Source organism: Homo sapiens, chromosome 10 (genome assembly GCF_000001405.40).
Source record: "Homo sapiens chromosome 10, GRCh38.p14 Primary Assembly".
In the NCBI taxonomy this organism is placed as follows: Eukaryota; Metazoa; Chordata; class Mammalia; order Primates; family Hominidae; genus Homo; species Homo sapiens.
Genome location: NC_000010.11, coordinates 75739457 through 75758530, shown reverse-complemented (window position 1 = coordinate 75758530; position 19074 = coordinate 75739457). Strand labels below are relative to the sequence as shown.

The following is a 19074-nucleotide window of genomic DNA, read 5'->3' as shown; positions in this document are numbered from 1 at the left end:
CCACGCAAGACGGACTGTAGAAATGCTCTACTAGAACGATAATACAGTGAGGGGACTGAGCAACGCTGACGGGTCCCAGCCGGGGCTGAGGGATAAGATGACACTGAGTGGGGTCTTCAAGAACAGACCAGATCTTGATGGAGAAGGGATCCCACAGGGAAGGAATTTCATGGGCGACATTCCTCACAGTGGGCAGGAGACTGGACGTGAGAACTTAGTTTCCGACTTTTCAAACAGACTTGGCAACAGGAGGGAGCCCAGCTGGCCCTTCCTGAGAGGGCGGGAGCACACCCAGGTGGGGGCAGCAAGCCCCCAAGCGGCACTCCCGTCACCCCCCTCACACCCTTTGCCTCCAATTAGGACACCGGCTTCAGAAGGTCCCTCTTACGGTTCACCTGCCTCACCAGGGCTCAATAAGAAAATTCCCTGCTGGCTGGGCGTGGTGGCTCATGCCTGTAATCCCAGCACTTTGGGAGGCCAAGGACAGTGGATCACTTGAGGCCAGGAGTTTGAGACCAGCCTGGCCAACATGGTGAAACCCCATCTCTACTAAAAATACGAAAATTAGCCAGGCATCGTGACATATGTCTGTAATTCCAACTACTTGGGAGGCTGAGGAAGGAGAATTGCTTGAACCCAGGAGGTGGAGGTTGCAGTGAGCTGAGATCACACCACTGCACTCCAGCCTGGATGACAGAGTGCGACTCCATCTTAACAAAAAAAAAAAAAAAAGAAAGAAAATTGTCTGCAAATCTGCCCTACAAACTTTACAATGCAGAGTAAAGTGGTCTGATTTAAATTAAAATAGCTGGCAATTATTGAGCACTTATTGTGTCTCAGTCACTGTTCTAAGTACCGTACATACCATCTTAACTCAGTGAATCCTCAAAGCAGTTCCACTATGATCTCATTGCACCCATTTTTTTAAAAGACGGAAAAGTGGTCAAGACACATGCCCAAGGTCACACAGCTGACAAACAGCCAGGCTGGGATGTAAACACGGGGGGACCAATGCCAGGGCCCCCACCCCTAACAACCGCATGTGACAGGGATCACTGCATGCTTTCCAAAACCCACTTCTTCAACTCCTGGACATATAGCTAGACGTTCTAACCTCCCTGCAGCAGGTGTGACCTGTGACTGAGTCCCAGCCAATGGCATTTGGGACACACTGCATCCCATCTCCAAGCCTGGCCCATCAAACCTCTCGTACAATTTCCTAAATCCTCCTTCTTCCCCTGAGTGCTGACTGAGAGAAAAGCACCCAGCAGAGAACCTGAGGCCCCTGGGAATGGGGAAGGGAGGTTGGGAGGGTAGCAGAAGGATAAAGGAGAGGGATTTTACGTGAGAAATAAACTTCTATTGTGCTAAGCCCTGGAAATTTGGTTTCTGCTTTCTGTCTTTGAAACCAATTCCCCATTGTGGCTGTCTCTTCACCACAGGTGAGAATTTAGTGATTTCTGGGCCCCAGGAAGACAGAAATGTAAATTCCTATTGAAACCATCAATAGTTAAAATTTGGAGCCCCATTAATATAGTTCAAGTCACAATGCACTATAGTTCAAGACTAATACATGACACAAATCTGCCTCCTAAATCATCCCTCTGGCCTCAGTCCCTAAATGATTGAGAAAGTGATTCCAGAGTCATCATCAGTAATGTGGCAATTCAACAGTGATGAAGAAAAGAGTCTTTAGAATCATTTGAACCAAAGTTGGAATCCAGGTCCTCCAGTTTACTAGCTATGCCACCTTGGGCAAATTACTGAACATTTCTGTGCCTTGGAGCCCCACATGTGATACCAGCCCACATGACTTGTACAGATTAAGAGAAAACATGTAGGCAAAGGGCTTAGGGGAGAAATGGACACATGGAAAGCACCCAATAATTCTATCCTCATCACTATTATTGTTCATTAAGGCTCTCAAAAAGAGAGCACCTTTATCAGTTAGGATTATGTTCAGCTGCATAGAACAAAAACTAAACACTAAAATATCAATGGTCGGAGCAAGTCAGTTTATTTCTCTGGTACATAAAAGAAGTCTAAAGGCAGGCAGGCCAAGGCTGATATTGGGGATCTCCAGGAGGTCATCAGGGTCCTTCTAACTCTATGCTCCACCACTCCTAGCATGTAGTCCTAGTCCTCATGACCCAATATGAATGCTGGCATTCCAGCCATCACAACCAGTTCCAGGCAGCAGACTGGGAGGAATCAAAAAAGAAAGGAACACCCGCTCTCTTTTAAGAAGACTTTCTGGAAGTCCTACGCAATACTTTGACTTAGCTGCGTGGCTACACCTAGCTCCTAGTTGCAAGGAAACAGTTACAAGGGTGGCACTATCCCAACTAAAAACCAAGGATTTTGTCAATGAAACGTTGAAGAGAATGGATATGGTAAGCAAACAGAAGTCTCTGCCCCAGCACAAAAATCAGTAAACAAAGACAAGCTACACTCTCCCTAACCAAAAAGTTCTGGTAAACTTTAAAGAAAAATATTCCACTGAGAAGCAAAGAAACATCTAGTACATATCACCACAGTTTCCACTCTTGCTCCTCTACAATCCATTCTCCACATGCCAGCCAGACCAGTACATTTAGAATGTAAGCCATAGCCCCACTTAAAACCCTCCAAAGCTTCCCACTGCAAAGCAAGTGGAGGAATATGGATTTTATTTGTAGCATAAGGTCCCAGCTGGTCTGGCCCCAGGCACGTCGCTGACCCCATTGCACACCACAGCTGCCTGCTCCCCACTGCACAGCCTGGCTAGCTTTTGATGCCGCTGCCGCGATGTTGCACCATGTACACTCCAAGGTTGCGTCAGCCTAGGACCTTTGCATTGCTTGCTTTCTTGGCCTGAATCTTGCTGCTCTTTGATCTTCTGTTGACTGGCTCCTTCTTGTCACTCAGATCTCAGCTTAAACATTATCTTCTCAGAGACTTCCCTGATTCCCAAGTCATAGCACAGCAGATCACCTTACCTTAACTCTTGGTATAGCACTCATCACCATCTGATACTTGTCTTGTTTATACCTTTGTCTCTTTCCTCATTAGAATGCATGTTGCCGTTAGAGTAATGTCTTTCTTGTTCACTGTTCAAAAACTTGCCCCCAACCCCAACTAATGGAGTTCCTAATCATCATCTAGGTAGACATTCATTCATCTAAGAAATCTTTGCCGAACACCTGCTATGTGCTAGGCACAATGACATGGTAATAAGATAGTGCCCCAAATGAAGCCCATTTGTACTACATAAGCTGACCATACCTACATTAATGGTGTTTCACTGTTTCATTTAACTAAGACTTTTTTCTGAGACCATGAGCACAATAAAGTGATGTGCAAAGAACAGAGCAAAGTGAAAGACTGTGTCTGTGTTGACAGTAGATGAAGGGAAGGAGAAGAAGTTATTTTTATGGTGTCCTAAGAACCCCAAAGTAGAAAGCAGCCAAAAGTTTAAAAAAACAAAACAAAACAAACAAAAAAAAAAACCAAAAAACTTTTCCATGAGGTCAAAAACAAAAGCTTGCCAGCACACCATCCACTATTTATTTAATCCTTGAAAAATTAGATTCATACCTATAGATACACAAGACTGTTTTCCATAGGAAATCCATAGAATAAAATTGCAGGAAAAGTTATCCAGCAACAATCTATGGCTCCTACGGACCGTGGATGGATGTGAGGCTGCAGTAAGAACATTCAGAAGATACGCAGACAGGCAGTGACCGAGAGAGAAAGAGGGGAGAGAGAGAGAAAAAATTCCTGCTAGCTGGATGAAGGAAACGGGGAAAAGGGGAGAAAGAAGGAAAAACAAATCAAAGAAAGAACAGCTATTAAAAATGCTGAGTTGAAAATGTTTCAGATGGCCTCTGACATCTAATAAGTCATCTGTCTTTCTCAATACAGAAAAGTCATTACTTACTAGTGAACTAATACCAGCAACTGTGACAAGTAAAAACAACAAAGCCCATAAAAATATAAAAGTTCACCCCGTGCAGTTAGGCGAAAAAAAGAATGTATTCAATTTTTCAGATGAAAAACATTTGAACTGACTGAATTTATTGTAATGCAACTTGTATTATATGCTGGGAAAATGAAAAGAGAAAAAATATCCACTGCTCAGCCTGTCTTCAACTTTTTCTTGGAAAACAGAATACAATACGTTTTTTGAGAACATGAACTCTTCATAGAAACCAGTCATAAATATCAACATGGCATCCTGGCTACAAGCCATCAATTCCCATAACAGAAGCATGAATTAATAGCACCATCTGCCCTGCCCACAAGACCCCTATAAAACCACCTCTTCACAGGGTATAACCTAGACCTAAGCACAGCATGAGGAATGCAGGTCAGATAAAGGAAGAACTGGAGAGCCTTCAGGCTAACCAAAGGCATGGAAGGATTTTTCTTCCCTGGGCAGGGCTGGCTGGAAGCAGGAATGTGCATATACAGAAGAATAAAATCCAGGCACAATGACAGCACAAGGATGTCATCAAGGGCAAAAGGAACCTTGCCTTCCCATAGCCGTAATTCACCATTCTGGGAAACATCTTTGATTCCTCTCCTTCATTCCCACAGTCAATGCACCAGCAAATGCTAAGCTATCTTAAAAATACAGCCTGAATCTCTTCACTTCCTTCCATCTTTACTGCCTGCTCCCTGGTTCGTAGCACCGCATCTATCCCATGACCACCACAATGACTGTGCTAACTGGACCCCCTTACCCCACTTCCATTCTTGCCTGCCTCATTTCTAACCTGCAGCCAGTGTGGCTGTGAAAAACACAAATCAGATTCTATTATCCAGTTCCTTAAAACTCATCTGGGCTTCACTGGTTTCCTATCACCCTTAGAATCAAAGCCAAACTCCTTTCTAGGCTCAACCCTCTCCACAGGCTGGCTCTGGCCTCCCTTGCCTCTGTCAGCATTCCGTTCCCCACCTTCCTAGCCAGCTCACCAGCCCCCTTTCTCCTCCTTGCACTTGCCTGGGGCCTTTGCACATGCTGTCCCCTCCACCCACACACACTTCTGAGCTTCTCACAGCTGCCTCCTCACCATTCAGCTCCCTGCTTTTTGAAGAGGACTTTCGTGGCCACCATATCAAAATTAGGCCTCTTCCTCCAAATCACTTTCTATGCCATCACTCTGTTTTATTAGAACCATAGGAAATTGTCTCTTTTAAATTTATTTGTTTATCTATCACCTGTCTCCTCTAATTAGAATATAAGATTCCCAAAGGTAAGGTCCCCACTGCCCTTAGGTACTACTTATTCTCAGCACTTTCAACTAGTCCAGTGAGTGCCTGGTATATAAGGGTTCAACAAATATCTGCAGAATGAATGGATAAGTGAGATTCCAGCTTTGTAGGGCTTTAAAAATGAACAGGGTACCTTCAGATTATCTAACTTGCAACAACACCCATTTTACATATGGAGGAAAAGGAAAAAAAAGTCAACTCATCTGCCACTACGATTAATACACAGCATGGTGCCCTCTTCTCCTATCTGAATCAGACACAATCTCAAACCACAGGCAAAGAAAACTCAAAACCTGAGGAAGAAAAATACTGTACAACCAGAAGAATCATAAAAGTAGGTGGACACAGATCAATGGTAGCTGAAAGGGGCTATGCATGACGCAATTCAGACTCGAATTGGTCTCAGAATTGCAGGAGTAAATTCAACCAAGACAAACCCAGTAGCAACAAACCCTTAAACAAAAAGTAGGCCAGAAGAGAAGAAGCTCATTGGTTTAACACAAGCTTCATTTAATGTGATCCTAGAGTGTCAACCCTAACAAACTGAGAACATACCTAAGACACAGGTTCTGCTCCTAGCTGTTTCTAACTCTCCCTAGCTCAGTTGCTTAACATCTCTGGGTCTCATTTAGGAACAAACCACCATGACCCAAAACTGTGTCATTAGTGTACACCTTCATGATGTCACCATACCAAAGTATACCACGTGTACTAATTACTGAATATTTTAACTTCAATAAATTGATGTTTAAAAGGCACATTGGCTGGGCGTGGTGGTTCACACCTGTAATCCCAGCACTTTGGGATCTGAGGTGGGTGGATCAAGAGGTCAGGAGATCAAGAGCATCCTGGCTAACATGGTGAAACCCCATATCTACTACAAATACAAAAAATTAGCTAGGCCTGGTGGCGGGCGCCTGTAGTCCCAGCTACTCAGGAGGCTGAGGCAGGAGAATGGCATGAGCCTGGGAGGCGGAGCTTGCAGTGAGCTGAGATCAGCCACTGCACTCCAGCCTGGGTGACAGAGTGAGACTCCATCTCAAAAAAAAAAAAAAAAAAAAAAGAGACACGTTATATCACTCCCATAATAGAAGCCAATCTCATTTGCCAATGACCAAACAGAATCATATGTCTAAGTATCACGAAAACAAAAAATTATTACTAAAGGCCAAATAACTACTCCTTATCAGCTACTCTGAGCCTCAGTCCCAATCTTTGTTTATATATATATATATATTTATTTATTTTACAGTAGGAAGATATTAAAGTGCAGCACCAAACTCGTCATTTTCCCCTAGATTTAAACTAAAGGATTGAAAGAGAATTGAAAAGAGAAAAACCTCCTCATTGTGCAAGTCCATGCCAGCCCAAGCCTTGCCTGCCTCTGGATGCACAGCCCACTTCAGGAACTACTGGTTTGAGCACACAATCTTGAAGGCCTCCACTAAGGTACTACCTCTCTGTGAGTGAAAATCAGTACGTGTGACCCATTAATGAGAGGAGCCGTGTATTTAATAATGTTGATGGGTCTGAAAGGGGATGTCCTAAGAGTAAATGAGAAATAAAGATCACTGCAGGGGTCTAGGGGGTGGGAAGTGGAGGATAACAGTGATGGTGAGGACCATAGCAATAGCCACCAACATTTATTTGGTGCTTACTATGGGCAAGGGCCATGCTAAGTCTTTGAATCCTCCCAACCCTTCTTTGAGGTAGATACAATTATTATTCTCATTTTACGGATGACAAAACTGAAACTCAGCCAAGAAAACAAAGTTATTTTGATGTAAGATAACTGAAATTATTTAAATTTATCCCAAATATTTGTGTCCATGACCCACAGTAAGACTCAGTAGGTTAAAAGCAGGTTAAAGTTTCTATATTCCTCTCCCTCCCTCTCCCACTCCCCCTCCCTCTCCCCAGTCTCCCTCTCCCTCTCCCCGGTCTCCCTCTCCCTCTCCCTCTCTCTCCACAGTCTCCCTCTGATGCCGAGCCGAGGCTGGACTGTGCTGCCGCCATCTCGGCTCACTGCAACCTCCCTGCCTGATTCTCCTGCCTCAGCCTGCCGAGTGCCTGGGATTGCAGGCACGCGCCGCCACGCCTGACTGGTTTTTGTATTTTTTGGTGGAGACGGGGTTTCACCGTGTTGGCCGGACTGGTCTCCAGCTCCTGACCGCGAGTGATCTGCCCGCCTCAGACTCCGGAGGTGCCGGGATTGCAGACGGAGTCTCGCTCACTCAGTGCTCAATGTTGCCCAGGCTGGAGTGCAGTGGCGTGATCTCGGCTGGCTACAAACTCCACCTCCCAGCCGCCTGCCTTGGCCTCCCAAAGTGCAGAGATTGCAGCCTCTGCCCGGCCGCCACCCCGTCTGGGAAGTGAGGAGCGTCTCTGCCTGGCCGCCCATCATCTGGGATGTGAGGAGCCCCTCTTCCCGGCCGCCCAGTCTGGGAAGTGAGGAGCGCCTCTTCCCGGCTGCCACCCTGTCTGGGAAGTGAGGAGCGTCTCTGCCTGGCCGCCCATCGTCTGGGATGTGAGGAGCCCCTCTGCCCCCCCGCCCCGTCTGGGATGTGAGGAGAGCCTCTGGCCGGCCGCCATCCCGTCTGGGAAGTGAGGAGCATCTCTGCCCGGCTGCCCATCATCTGGGATGTGAGGAGCGCCTCTGCCCGGCCGCCATCCCGTCTGGGAAGTGAGGAGTGTCTCTGCCTGGCCGCCCGTCCTCTGAGATGTGGGGAGCGCCTCTGCCCCGCCGCCCCATCTGGGATGTGAGGACCCCCTCTGCCCCCCACCCCCCGCCCCGTCTGGGATGTGAGGAGCGCCTCTGCCCGGCCGCGACCCCGTCTGGGAACTGAGGAGTGTCTCTGCCTGACCGCCACCCCGTCTGGGAGGTGAGGAGCGTCTCTGCCCTGCTGCCCCGTCTGAGAAGTGAGGAGCCCCTCCGCCCAGCAGCTGCCCCGTCCGGGAGGGAGGTGGGGGGCAGCCCCTGCCCGGCCAGCCGCCCCGGCGGGGAGGGAGGTGGGCAGCCCCCGCCCGGCAGCCGCCCTGTCCGGGAGGTGGGGGGCGCCTCTGCCCGACCACCCCATCTGGGAAGTGAGGAGCCCCTCTGCCCAGCCGCCACCCCGTCTGGGAGGTGTACCCAACAGCTCATTGAGAACAGGCCATGATGACGATGGTGGTTTTGTCGAATAGAAAAAGGGGGAAAAGTGGGGAAAAGAAAGAGAAATCAGATTGTTACAGTGTCTGTGTAGAAAGAAGTAGACATCCTGACTCCATTTTGTTCTGTACTAAGAAAAATTCTTCTGCCTTGGGATGCTGTTAATCTATAATCTTACCCCCAACCCCGTGCTCTCTGAAACATGTGGTGTGTCCACTCAGGGTTAAATGGATTAAGGGCGGAGCAAGATGTGCTTTGTTAAACAGATGCTTGAAGACAGCATGCTGGTTAAGAGTCATCACCACTCCCTAATCTCAAGTACCCAGGGACACAAACACTGCGGAAGGCCGCAGGGTCCTCTGCCTAGGAAAACCAGAGACCCTTGTTCACATGTTTATCTGCTGACCTTCCCTCCACTATTGTCCTATGACCCTGCCAAATCCCCCTCTCCGAGAAACACCCAAGAATGATCAATAAATACTAAAAAAAAAAAAAAAAGTTTCTATATTTGACTGGTGCTTTTTTTTAACCAAAAAACCAATAATTTCAGATGTTCAAAGAAATACATTTTACACTGAGGCCCAATACACAAAATAAATACATATACACATGCATATATAATACACATAAACATATACAGATATATATGTGTGTGTATGTACATATACACATATATATCTGTATAAATATATATCTGTATGTGTGTATGTATGTATACAGTTGATCCTTAAACAACATGGGAGTTAGGGGCACCAACCCTCCACAGCCAAAAATTCACATAAAACTTTTGGCTCCCCCAAAAGTACTAATAGTCTATTATTGACCAGAAGCCTTACTAATAAAGAGTAGGTTAACACGTTTTGTATGTTATATGTATTACATACTGCAGCCTTACAATAAAGTAAGATAGAGAAAAGAAAATGTTACTAAGGAAATCATGAGGAAGAAAATATAAATTTACTATTCATTAAGTGAAAGTGGATCATCGTAAAGGACATCATCCTCATTATCTTTACATTGAGTAAGCTGAGAAGGAAAAGGAAGAAGTGGGGGTTGGTCTTGTTGTCTCAGGGGCAGCAGAGTTGGAAAAAAAATCCACATATAAGTGGATCCATGCAGTTCAAACCCATGTTGTTTAAGGGTCAACTGTATATGTATCTACCTGCATGTAATGTGTATGTATGTATAATTCTGTATGTGTGTATAGATACACATACATATAAATGTATATATCAGATATAAAAGTTGCATAAACTAGTATTTGTCCTAATTATGTGCCATAATTAGATCTCTCAGTGGCTGTATTTTATTTTAGAAGATAGGAGTCTTATATTGAACATTATATTATTGAACTCTGATATTTTCTATTCTGTCCTATTTTTTATAATGTTGGTTACAACCCACTAAATTGATTTTACAATTCACGAATGGGATGCACCTCCCAGCCTGAACAACAGTGACTTAAAGGAACTGTAATCATAACGGAGCAAACACAGTACCATCTCGAGCTAGATGATGGTCAGCATCTCATGCCATCTCCCCAGGTTGTAGAAATGAGAAGCACAGGGCCTGGCCCTAAATGGTTTTTTTAATACGTAGAAATTTCTATAATTGGACTCCAAGTGTAATTATTAGGCAAAAGAACATATAATGAGTTCAGTTACATAGAGGAAATATAAGGAAAAAAGAGTTTGATAGATGTCTAAATTTTTTTCTTAAATCACTAAACAGGCCAGGCATGGGGGTTTACACCTGTAATCCCAGCACTTTGGGAGGCCAAGGTGGGAGGATCACCTGAGGTCAGGAGTTCAAGACCAGCCTGGCCAACATGGTAAAACCCCATCTCTAGTAAAAATACAAAAATTAGCCAGGTGTGGTGGTGTGTGCCTATAATCCCAGCTGCTCGGGAGGCTGAGGCAGGAAAATCACTTGAACCTGGGAGGCAGAGGTTGCAGTAAGCTGAGATGATGCCACTGCACTCCAGCCTGGGCAACAAGAGCAGAACTCTGTCTGGAAAAAAAAAATAGCTAAACAACAATAAAAGCCTGTTACTTAAATATTTAAGTATGATGATAAATAGCAAATGATAGCTCACAAATTTGAAGATGGTCGCCTGTGCAGAAAGGATTTAGACTAGCAGAGGGTGGGTCATGGCACTACTAGTTTTTTATTTATTAGGAGCCTTAAGCAAAACAATACTATTTGACTTTCTTAATGGTATTCTTGTTTTACTTTATTAAAAAAATTGATTTAATTTTTAAAAATCAATCCTAATAGCAATCTAGTGTAGAAGAGGGGACACTCGATTGGGACTCTGAAAACCTACCATCTACACACTCAGCCTGGGAAAGCTACTTGACTTCTTGGGACTTTTCTTTCTTCTCACGTAAAATGAAGGGCTAGATTCTGAAGCTTCCTCTACATCTAATTTTAGAACCCTATGACCCTAAAATATCTGATCATTTACAGATCATTTTAAGGAAAGGATACAGCATTCCAAGATCACCCAAATGGTGAAAACTCACAATTTATCACACAAAAAGTTAGACCAAAGATAGTGGTCTCACCAACACAGTAACTTAAGTAATCCCAGTTATCTCTTTAGGGGTAGTTACTCAATTGTGTTATTTCTTCTTCCTCTCAATATGGTCCCTATCGTATTTCATAAATTATAATTTTATGTATCACATTATTTTTTGCTTGTTAACCACATGTTTTTCTCAGAGATTCTTTCCTGAGTGTTTCCAATGCAGAGGCAAAATTTATTTGAATAATACCATAATTAAATCTCTTAGCGGCTGTATTTTATTTTAGAAGACAGGAATTATATTCGACTTTTTTTATTGAACTGTCATTTTTATCTTAACTGTGGCTTAACCTCGTAATCTAATTATTTTTTCTAAACCTACTTTACAGCTAATAAAAGATACGAAAAATTAAATTACATAATAAAGCATGAAGCAAGTGTAGCTATCATGAGACTCTCAGACTGAAAAACTAGCATGAACTAATTTATACTATTGAAGAGTTGTTTTTCCCCATATTAAAAAAGATTAAATAAAAAAAGAAACCTCTTTAAATGGAATAATAAATCAGCTACTCTAATTCCCATAGATATCTTCAGAACCACGGTTAAATCATCATCACAGAATACCAACTTCTCCATCACAGTAGAAAGGAATTACCCCAATAAGATCTACCCCTAAGATCTCTGTTTAAGGAAATTTATAAAAGAACAACTCCCTCTTCCTCTTCCTCCTCCTCTCACTTCCAAAGCTTCTAGTTTTCAACTCTAATATAATAAAAATTCTTTTTTCTTCCCTCTTTTCCTTTAGGATGTGTCCTAATTGTTTCTGTCTTCCATAAGGGCCATGTCAAAATATAAGCTCCCCCCCCAAAAATAGCACTCTCTACCCACGCACTCTGAGACATCTGCACAGATAAGTATTTGAAAAATGATTTTTATGATGATGAAATAAAATGTATTCACAGTGGTAATTCTTTGGGGCCATTAGGAATTCATTAAACAATGACTTAGCTCTAGAATCATCAAACCCTCTGACAAATATTTGTAAGAGCCTCTGCAAATAGGGACACCCACGCTACAAGGCAGCAGAAGCTACAAAAGTGTACGTGTGTCTCTCTAATTTACACTCAGATTTTCCTGAGTCCTGAACTAGAAGTTCTGATCTTAGCAAAGACAGCAGATAATCCTTTCTTCATGGTAGTTTGAACGAAAACAATTTTAAGTAGTTTTACGATTTACCCCTTAAGTGCAGTGAACCAAGACCACCAAACTAGTTTGCAGGGAGAATTCAGTGAGTTGGAATTGTATTGTTTCAGTTGTTTAAACCAAACACCTCTGTCAGTCTGAAATTAAATTATTTACGTAATGACCTCTTAACTAATGTTTGTGGAGCATTTACACTATATAAAACATGGCATGGCATTAGGTATGATGGGAGATACAGAAAGTACCAAGCCTGCTCCTGCTCCCAAGAGAAGAAATGTTCATCTAGCTGGTGGTGAGATGCCAGTAGGAAAAGAAGCTGAACACAGTAACTTCACAGTGCAGAAACCTCCCAAACAAATACCTTAACCAAGTAGTTGAGGTTAACATTTCTAGTGAGAAGCCAGGCTGGTATCATGTACCCCTTGAGATAATGTGATACCTGTGTGGTACTTTTCCCAAAATCCGTAACTCAAACAAATCATGAAATAACACATCATATGAAACCCACGTTGAGGCACATTCTACAAAATACCTGGCCAGTGTTTTGACTGTCAAGGTCATCACGAAAAAACAAAGAAAAGCTGAATTGTCACAGACCGGCAGAAACGAAGGAGACATGATAACTAAAAGCAGTGTGGCATTCTGGCCCCTGGGTTCGTTGCTGGAATAGAAAAAGGACAGAAATGGAAAAACCAGTGGAATCCAAATAAAGTCTGGAGTTTTAATCAATAATATTGTTCCAATGTTTTCTTAAATTTGACAAATGGTGTCAGAGCGATAGGAAATGATAACACTAGGAGAAACTGAAATTAGGTTAGGCGAATTACAGGAATGCTCTGTACTATCTTTGCAACTTTTCTGTAAATCTAAAATTATTCCAAAATATAGTGTTTTTAAAGTTTATTTTTAAAAGAAATGGGAAGATATAGGACACAGGGCACAAAGTTGCTGTAATGTAGAATGACTAAGTCTAGAGGTCTAAAGTACAGCATGAGGACTATAGTTAATAACAAAAAATTAAAAGATGCGAATCATGTTATGTGAATTTCACCCTGATTTTTTATGTATATGATGTGAATTTTGCCCCAATTTATATTATACACACACACGGAGAGAGAGAGAGAAAGAGAGAGAGAGATGATGAATAAAAGAAGATGAGTAACATGGGGGTATTAAAAAATCTACAGTTAGATTGCATCTTACAAAACTGACAATATTTGACCTTTTTCACCTATAAAACAGCATTTTCACATGATTCGACCTAACACACCTCTGTGGGCTTGGGAGACGTCATGATAAGATGGAGCTTATGCTGGACATGACAGTAACTGACATAGCAAAGAGGACACATTCCAGGAGAAGGGAACAGTGTGAGCAGAGTTGGGGACGTGCACAGTGTGGTCAGAGATGGGAGAGAGACTTGCCTGTGCCTGTGCATGTCAGCAGGGAAGTGACAGAAAGTACGCTGGCACAGGAAGGTCTTCAGGCAGGGAGATAGTTTAGGTATTCCTAAACTAGAGGATCTGGGCTCTGAATCTGAATACATAGCAAAGAGCCTGGCCCTCTCAGTGGCCAGGAATGTCCCCTGGAAAGGACTGCAGCCTCTAAGGGACAGTGACACATCAAAGTGCCTCAATGGCCACATTTTCAGGTCCCAGGTGAACATCTAGCATAACAGAAAGACGACCGAACTACAAATTGGCAGATCTAAGTCCTGATTCTGTTTCTGCCACTAATGGGGTGAGAAACCCTAAATAAGTCCCCTCCTTCTGTCTCCATCTCAGGTTTCTACCCTAAAGAGGAGGGGAGCTGGATAAGTTGGTCTCCAAGGCCTCTTCCAGCTCTAAAACACTAACTCTGATGAGGAATGAAATATATTTTCTGGCTCCTAGAAGCAACATGTGGTTCACTCAAGTAGACAGAATGATGCAAGGTCCATGAAAGCAAAAACACTGAGAATAAAAGGACTGTGTTTTTATACACAAGAGTCTATTCTTTTATGATACATGTCTAGACCCCTCTAAATATTTAAACAACAATATCATACCAGTATGAAACCTCTCTAAATCAGGCTCTGTGGTTAAGGAGGATATATGAACAGATGTGATCTTATTAAGGCCCTAATGTAACTCAAAAACAATTTGTCATATCTGACGGGTATTGTTAAATTATGTCCACCTGCCAGAGGCAACCAGAGAAATTACCAACCGCCTTTACTCTAGTGCTACTCAAAATTCTCTAAAAAGCTCCCATAGATGTGTCCAGGGTATGTATTTTTTAAAACAGTAACCTAATTGTCACCAACACACAACAGCCAATGTTTCACAATTCCTTTTCATGTATATTTTATTATGGGGCCCAACTGTTTCAACACCCTAGTGGTTCAACTTTAATGCAGCTCAGGAAACCCCCTAAGTAATATCACAAAATGCTTAACATCTGTGAAACTTGGACCCAAAAATGTTCCAATTTTTTCTTTGGGTTGTGGGGAGCACTTGGGGGTGGGGAAAGCTGGCCACAGTTTTCATTAACGACAATAGTGTTGGTGCTCACAGGTATTTTAATCACTTCTCAGGCAGGAAGAACATTTTGAGTTTACCTTCCTACATGCTCAGAATTCTTTCAAACTACCATCGCCATGCTTGCTCAGAGTCAGTTTAAACATGAACCCATTTCCTTTTCCTTCTCTAAACGTTTGCCTCATCTCTCCTTCTTGCATTACAATATTTTAATTAAGTCAAACAATGAAAGAGAGAGGAGAAAAATGAAGTGTGAAGCACGTGGTGTATTTCCCAAGCTATTTCAAAACTTCTCAGAACTCTTTGGTCTCCAGAGGTGGTTGAAATATTCTTTATCCCACGAAGGAAAGGATGAAAAATTGATCTCCTCCAAACTTCAAATACTGCAGATTTCCACAAATGCAGACTGTAGGAAAGAAAGGCAGGCTTAGGAGTTACCAGACGAAACAGGAAGCAGTTCTCAGAGGACTCACGGCTCATCCCAGGCAGCTCCACGGGCAGAGCGTGTACACAGAGCCACCGGGAGAATAAACAGCAGCTCCACTTCTAAGAGAAATCAAAGCAAATCTCAGAGAAACTGAACATGGAGTCAAACCTCAGTAATTCGGATTAACTGAGGGGAAGGTCAGGTTGGATCAGGACAAAGCCTTGATGATAAAGTTTTTTTTCTTCCACAAAGTACAACTACAATTATTTCAAGGTTCACCCAACCCATCCTTCCCACCTCATCTCTTACCACCCCCTCCCAGCTCCCTCGCTCCCTTGTGGGCAGCTTTCGTCTCCACACAGACCATAATCTTCCCCATCTTTATGCTTCTGTTCATGATGCTCCCCTTTCGCCTGAAATTCCCCATCCCCCACTGCCTACTTGGTAAACGCCTTCTCAATTTTCAAGACCCCACTCCAAATGTCACCTCCTAATCAGAATGAATAGCACTAATCACATAATGTTTTGTGCATACCGATCATACATTAAAGTGATTCTCACCTTGGCCAGCTGCTATTAAAGTCACCTGGAGAACATTTCCATACAATCCCAATCCCCATGCCAACCACCAGAAATCTGATCGAGTTGGTCTGAGGTACTCCCTGACCATTGGTATCCTTTTTGCAAGTTTCTCAGATAATCTCAATGTGAAGGCTGGGCTTCGAACTTTGTGTATAGAACTTCTCACACTGTTCAGAATGATTCACCTGTACCCCAAGAGCAGAGGGCCCTTGGCAAAGGCTTGCTGTAGGCAGGGATGGAGGACATGAGTCCTTCCAGAGGCTTCTGTAAGAAAAAGGAACTTCATGTGATTTCAACATGTGGCTGTCCCCATGTGGCTTATCATGAACACACATGTATTTTTCATAGTGTGCCTCCCATCCACCCCCACAGCACACCTATTCAAGTGTTGGGGGAGGACCCACCACTGCAGCTCAATCTGACTTCCCATTATTTCCCCACACAGTAGGCTCTTTGCCACCTGGGTGGCCTTGCCCCTCTCTCTCCATCTTGTTGAACTGTCTGCCTTGTTCAAGGCCCACTGACCATTTCGTCTCCTGAAGCCTTCCTTTGCCTGCTTCAACTCCCAAGGATTTACTTTCCCACTCAATTCCCACTTAATTTAGCCCCTGTCCTCAGATGCCTTGATTGGCTGACAATCTCATGATATGTGTATGAAAAACTTTGACGTGGAGAGAGCAAGGAACGTGCATCTTACAGAGATTTTTACTTCCTGCCTATAATGCACGTATCTTAGTCAGTACAGGCTGTTATAACAAAGCACCATACACTGGTGGCTCACAAACAACAGAAACGTATTTTTCGTGGTTCTGCAGGATGGAAGTTCTTAGTCAGGGTGCCGGCATGGCCTGATCCTGGCGTGAGCCCTCTTCTAGGTTGCTGATAACTGTCTTTGCATTCTGTCCTCACAGCGCTCTCACGGATTCCTTTTATAAGGGTACTAATCCCATCGTTCATGAGAGCTCCACCCTTATGACCTAATCACCCCCCAAAGGCCCCACCTCCTAAAACCATCACACTGGGGCTTAGGAGTTCAACACAGAAATTTGGGGGACATAAACAAATAGTCCATAACAGGAAGGTTGGCTGTGCGGCAGGTGCTCTACATGTACTTGTTGATGGAACCCACCCAGAGTTGGCCCTCTTCTTTCCAGGCCAGGTTGTAGGACACCAAAACGAAGATAAGGATTAAGAACGCGGTTGCTCTGAAAAATCCACAGCATAAACGTCACACCAAATACCCTTGTGGTAGACAAAATTCTAAGATGACCCCATAACCCTTGCTCCCTTATCCTACTTCCATGTTTATGGAGGTTTCATGCCAAAAGGGATTCCACAGATGAAGGTTACCAATCAGGTAGTAGCCTCAAGACATGGAGCTTATCTGGGTGAGTGTAACCTAATCATGTGAGCCTTTTTTTTTTTTAAAGCAGTGGTATTCTCTGGCTGGTGGCAGAAGCGTATGTCAGAGAGATCAGAAAGGTAAGGAGGAGTCAACATGAGAGAGAGTTGCTCACTTGAGATGGAGGCGGGCATGTGGTCTGAGAATGTGCCCTGGCCAACAGCCAGCAAGAAAACAGGGACCTCAGTCCTACAGCCAAAAGGAAGTGCATTCTGCTAACGACATGACAGAGCCTGGAAGTGGGTTCTTGCCAGAGCCTCCAGAAAGAAATACACAGGGGCTGACACCCTGATTCCAGCCTTGTGCTGTTTGCTATCTGTTTCCTATCTGATACTCTTTACCAGGCAGGCTTGCTGGGTTTCTCAACCTACAGCTAGTAAACAGTGTTGTTTCATGCTGCTAAGCTAGTGGTAGTCTATTACAGAGCAATCCCAAACCATCCCCACCCCACAAACTGGCCAAGTAAGAGATCTTCTTGTGACTTAATAAACATACCTTAATATATGCTTATCCTGATTAACATAAATTCCATATATATATATATATGAATGACAGGCTTCTAAAAGAGTACACCATACTATATCAATGCAATATACTCTTACTATGCCTCTCAAAGTGTCATAATGGCCCTCAAATTGAGTGCTATTCATGAGTCATTTATGAATTATTAGAAATTGAATCACAAATCAGGTCCTCTGTCTCAAGGGCTACTTACTAAGCACCACTATTTGCCAAGTCTGTTGCTGATCAACAGATGTTGGGATTCTTAGCTGAAATGCCATGAGCCTGATATTTGAAGAATACACAGCCAGGCACATGGTACAGTTTCCGCCTCTCTGTGTAGGGATAAGGGGGCCTGAGTGCTCATGCCAATTTCTTAGGAAGCCAATGACTCTAGCACTTCTTAGTGGCTGCTGTTGCCTGGAGATGGGGAAGAGACAGGTGGTCACAGAGGGGCCCTGGGTAAAGCATTATCTACATCCACTTTCCTGGCGTCTCCCTAAATCCAGACATCACACAGGGCTGCACAAAAAGTCAGCCTCAACTGCCTGAGACTGACAGCCACAACCACCCAGCCCCACCAGCCTGTGATGACCAGTGATGCCGCAAGCAGACACCCGTGTTCCCAGGAGCCATTCCCCAAGACTGGAGAGACATCACCTGCCAGGCCGCTGCCCCTCAGCCTCCAGCTCCCGTCGGTCTGCGTCAGCATTTGTCTGAACATCGCACCTCCATCATCTACAGGGGAAATTGATGTCGATGGCATGGGAGAGGAATGTAACTACAGCCTATTCTAAAAGCACGCATTTATTTTATTTTATTTCAGAAATGTATGCATTATGTATGGCTGTACATAAACGTTTTTATAGAGCCTCTTAAATGATTTACCATGAGGTATGTGTTGATTACAATCTCTGCTTATTTAAAAGAGCTTTATTTACCCCCATGGTATTTAATACATTGAGACATGTTTCAACAAACAGTGACACCAGTAAACAAAAGTTACCGATCTACCTCATGAGTTATAAAACTTGCAACATGCTGTAAACAGCTCTGTCATTTTATTTCGCATATTGCATTGTGTGTGCTGCCTTATTTATCTAGTGGTAAATCTTTATGTATCAAAAATGCTACAGAAGGCACAACAGATAAATTACCGACAGACACTAACATCTGACTAGTTAATCAAACAAATAGGACATGTAACAAAGAGAAAAGCTATAAATATTGACAACAAGCTGCTTCAGTCACAAAAACATTCAATACTTCAGTTCTCAAGTGTGAGTTTTATATCAGTTCCCTGGAAACAGTTTGTATCCTCCAATAAATTTTTACAGTTGATTCACCTGCCTGATACCCCTCAGCCATTTCCTTCAGAAGCTGTCAAACCCGCCAACGATAATATATGGCCTGACCAACAAGAACAGCTGTAGCCATTCTCTCCGCAGGTTCTTGCACCCTGTTCTGCATAAAATAATACATCAAGATTAATTGATTTCCCGT

General features: G+C 43.5%; 1 protein-coding gene and 1 long non-coding RNA gene across 3 annotated transcripts in view, besides 1 other annotated feature; both read right to left on the bottom strand.

Moving 5' to 3' along the window:
• Positions 1–19074, bottom strand: part of LRMDA (leucine rich melanocyte differentiation associated) — a 1128545-nt gene that overhangs the window by 801638 nt on the left and 307833 nt on the right. The window lies entirely within an intron of this gene.
• Positions 8444–8945: an enhancer, noted in NCBI's record as "NANOG hESC enhancer chr10:77509344-77509845 (GRCh37/hg19 assembly coordinates)". NCBI's record gives its function as "activates a minimal SCP1, AML or CMV promoter by ChIP-STARR-seq in primed H9 embryonic stem cells {active_cell/tissue: H9 hESC(primed)}" and the evidence as "EXISTENCE:reporter gene assay evidence [ECO:0000049][PMID:30033119]".
• The window catches only part of LOC105378367 (uncharacterized), a 31394-nt gene continuing 27002 nt past the window's right edge, over positions 14683–19074 (bottom strand). Inside the window, exons 2-3 of the long non-coding RNA NR_132791.1 lie at positions 15648–15932; positions 14683–15205 (exon numbers count right to left, since the gene is read on the bottom strand). This is a non-coding gene — a long non-coding RNA (uncharacterized LOC105378367). The remainder of the gene's footprint in view (positions 15206–15647; positions 15933–19074) is intronic.